This window comes from Homo sapiens, chromosome 8, assembly GCF_000001405.40.
Source record: "Homo sapiens chromosome 8, GRCh38.p14 Primary Assembly".
NCBI lineage: Eukaryota > Metazoa > Chordata > Mammalia > Primates > Hominidae > Homo > Homo sapiens.
Genome location: NC_000008.11, coordinates 55052338 through 55055939, shown reverse-complemented (window position 1 = coordinate 55055939; position 3602 = coordinate 55052338).

The following is a 3602-nucleotide window of genomic DNA, read 5'->3' as shown; positions in this document are numbered from 1 at the left end:
ATATGTATACATGTGCCATGCTGGTGTGCTGCACCCATTAACTCGTCATTTAGCATTAGGTATATCTCCTAATGCTATCCCTCCCCCCTCCCCCCACCCCACAAGAGTCCCCAGATTGTGATGTTCCACTTCCTGTGTCCAAGTGTTCTCATTGTTCAATTCCCAGCTATGAGTGAGAACATGCGGTGTTTGGTTTTTTGTCCTTGCGATAGTTTACTGAGAATGATGATTTCCAATTTCATCCATGTCCCTACAAAGGACATGAACTCACCATTTTTTATGGCTGAATAGTATTCCCTGGTGTATATGTGCCACATTTTCTTAATCCAGTCTATCATTGTTGGACATTTGGGTTGGTTCCAAGTCTTTGCTATTGTGAATAGTGTCCCAATAAACGTATGTGTGCATGTGTCTTTATAGCAGCATGATTTATAATCCTTTGTGTATATACCCAGTAATGGGATGGCTGGGTCAAATGGTATTTCTAGTTCTAGATCCCTGAGGAATCGCCACACTGACTTCCACAATGGTTGAACTAGTTTACAGTCCCACTAACAGAGTAAAAGTGTTCCTATTTCTCCACATCCTCTCCAGAACCTGTTGTTTCCTGACTTTTTAATGATCACCATTCTAACTGGTGTGAGATGGTATCTCATTGTGGTTTTGATTTGCATTTCTCTGATAGCCAGTGATGGTGAGCATTTTTTCATGTGTTTTTTGGCTGCATAAATGTCTTCTTTTGCAAAGTGTCTGTTCATGTCCTTCGCCCACTTTTTGATGGGGTTGTTTGTGTTTTTCTTGTAAATTTGTTTGAATTCATTGTAGATTCTGGATATTATCCCTTTGTCAGATGAGTAGTTTGCGAAAATTTTCTCCCATTTTGTAGGTTGCCTGTTCACTCTGATGGTAGTTTCTTTTGCTGTGCAGAAGCTCTTTAGTTTAATTAGATCCCATTTGTCAATTTTGGCTTTTGTTGCCATTGCTTTTGGTGTTTTAGACATGAAGTCCTTGCCCATGCCTATGTCCTGAATGGTATTGCCTAGGTTTTCCTCTAGGGTTTTTATGGTTTTAGGTCTAACATTTAAGTCTTTAATCCATCTTGAATTAATTTTTGTATAAGGTGTAAGGAAGGGACCCAGTTTCAGCTTTCTACATATGGCTAGCCAGTTTTCCCAGCACCATTTATTAAATAGGGAATCCTTTCCCCATTGCTTGTTTTTGTCAGGTTTGTCAAAGATCAGATAGTTGTAGATATGTGGCGTTATTTCTGAGGGCTCTGTTCTGTTCCATTGATCTATATCTCTGTTTTGGTGCCAGTACCATGCTGTTTTGGTTACTGTAGCCTTGTGGTATAGTTTGAAGTCAGGTAGCATGATGCCTCCAGCTTTGTTCTTTTGGCTTAGGATTGACTTGGCGATGCAGGCTCTTTTTTGGTTCCATATGAACTTTAAAGTAGTTTTTTCCAATTCTGTGAGGAAAGTCATTGGTAGCTTGATGGGGATGGCATTGAATCTATAAATTACCTTGGGCAGTACGGCCATTTTAACGGTATTGATTCTTCCTACCCATGAACATGGAATGTTCTTCCATTTGTTTGTATCCTCTTTTATTTCCTTGAGCAGTGGTTTGTAGTTCTCCTTGAAGAGGTCCTTCACATCCCTTGTAAGTTGGATTCCTAGGTATTTTATTCTCTTTGAAGCAATTGTGAATGGGAGTTCACTCATGATTTGGCTCTCTGTCTGTTATTGGTATATAAGAATGCTTGTGATTTTTGTACATTGATTTTGTGTCCTGAGACTTTGCTGAAGTTGCTTATCAGCTTCAGGAGATTTTGGGCTGAGACAATGGGGTTTTCTAGATATACAATCATGTCATCTGCAAACAGGGACAATTTGACTTCCTCTTTTCCTAATTGAATACCCTTTATTTCCTTCTCCTGCCTAATTGCCCTGGCCAGAACTTCCAACACTATGTTGAATAGGAGTGGTGAGAGAGGGCATCCCTGTCTTGTGCCCGTTTTCAAAGGGAATGCTTCCAGTTTTTGCCCATTCAGTATGATATTGGCTTTGGGTTTGTCATAGATAGCTCTTATTATTTTGAGATACGTCCCGTCAATACCTAATTTACTGAGAGTTTTTAGCATGAAGCATTGTTGAATTTTGTCAAAGGCCTTTTCTGCATCTATTGAGATAATCATGTGGTTTTTGTCATTGGTTCTGTTTATATGCTGGATTACATTTATTGATTTGCATATATTGAACCAGCCTTGCATCCCAGGGATGAAGCCCACTTGATCATGGTGGATAAGCTTTTTGATGTGCTGCTGGATTCAGTTTGCCAGTATTTTATTGAGGATTTTTGCATCAATGTTCATCAAGGATATTGGTTTAAAATTCTCTTTTTTGGTTGTGTCTCTGCCAGGCTTTGGTATCAGGATGATGCTGGCCTCATAAAATGAGTTAGGGAGAATTCCCTCTTTTTCTGTTGATTGGAATAGTTTCAGAAGGAATGGTACCAGCTCCTCCTTGTACCTCTGGTAGAATTCGGCTGTGAATCCATCTGGTCCTGGACTCTTTTTGGTTGGTAAGCTATTGATTATTGCCACAATTTCAGAGCCTGTTATTGGTCTATTCAGAGATTCAACTTCTTCCTGGTTTAGCCTTGGGAGGGTGTATGTGTCGAGGAATTTATCCATTTCTTCTAGATTTTCTAGTTTATTTGTGTAGAGGTGTTTGTAGTATTCTCTGATGGTAGTTTGTATTTCTGTGGGATTGGTGGTGATATCCCCTTTATCATTTTTTATTGCGTCTATTTGATTCTTCTGTCTTTTTTTCTTTTAGTCTTGCTAGTGGTCTATCAATTTTGTTGATCCTTTCAAAAAACCACCTCCTGGATTCATTAATTTTTTGAAGGGTTTTTTGTGTCTCTATTTCCTTCAGTTCTGCTCTGATTTTAGTTATTTCTTGCCTTGTGCTAGCTTTTGAGTGTGTTTGCTCTTGCTCTTCTAGTTCTTTTAATTGTGATGTTAGGATGTCAATTTGGGATCTTTCCTGCTTTCTCTTGTGGGCATTTAGTGCTATAAATTTCCCTCTACACACTGCTTTGAATATGTCCCAGAGATTCTGGTGTATTGTGTCTTTGTTCTCGTTGGTTTCAAAGAACATCTTTATTTCTGCTTTCATTTTGTTGTGTACCCAGTAGTCATTCAGGAGCAGGTTGTTCAGTTTCCATGTAGTTGAGCAGTTTTGAGTGAGTTTCTTAATCCTGAGTTCTAGTTTGATTACACTGTGGTCTGAGAGACAGTTTGTTATAATTTCTGTTCTTTTACATTTTCTGAGGAGTGCTTTACTTCCAACTATGTGGTCACTTTTGGAATAGGTGTGGTGTGGTGCTGAAAAGAATGTACATTCTGTTGATTTGGAGTGGAGAGTTCTGCAGATGTCTATTAGGTCTGCTTGCTGCAGAGCTGAGTTCAATTCCTGGGTATCCTTGTTAACTTTCTGTCTCATTGATCTGTCTAATGTTGACAGTGGGGTGTTAAAGTCTCCCATTATTATTGTGTGGGAGTCTAAGTCTCTTTGTAGATCACTCAGAACTTGCTT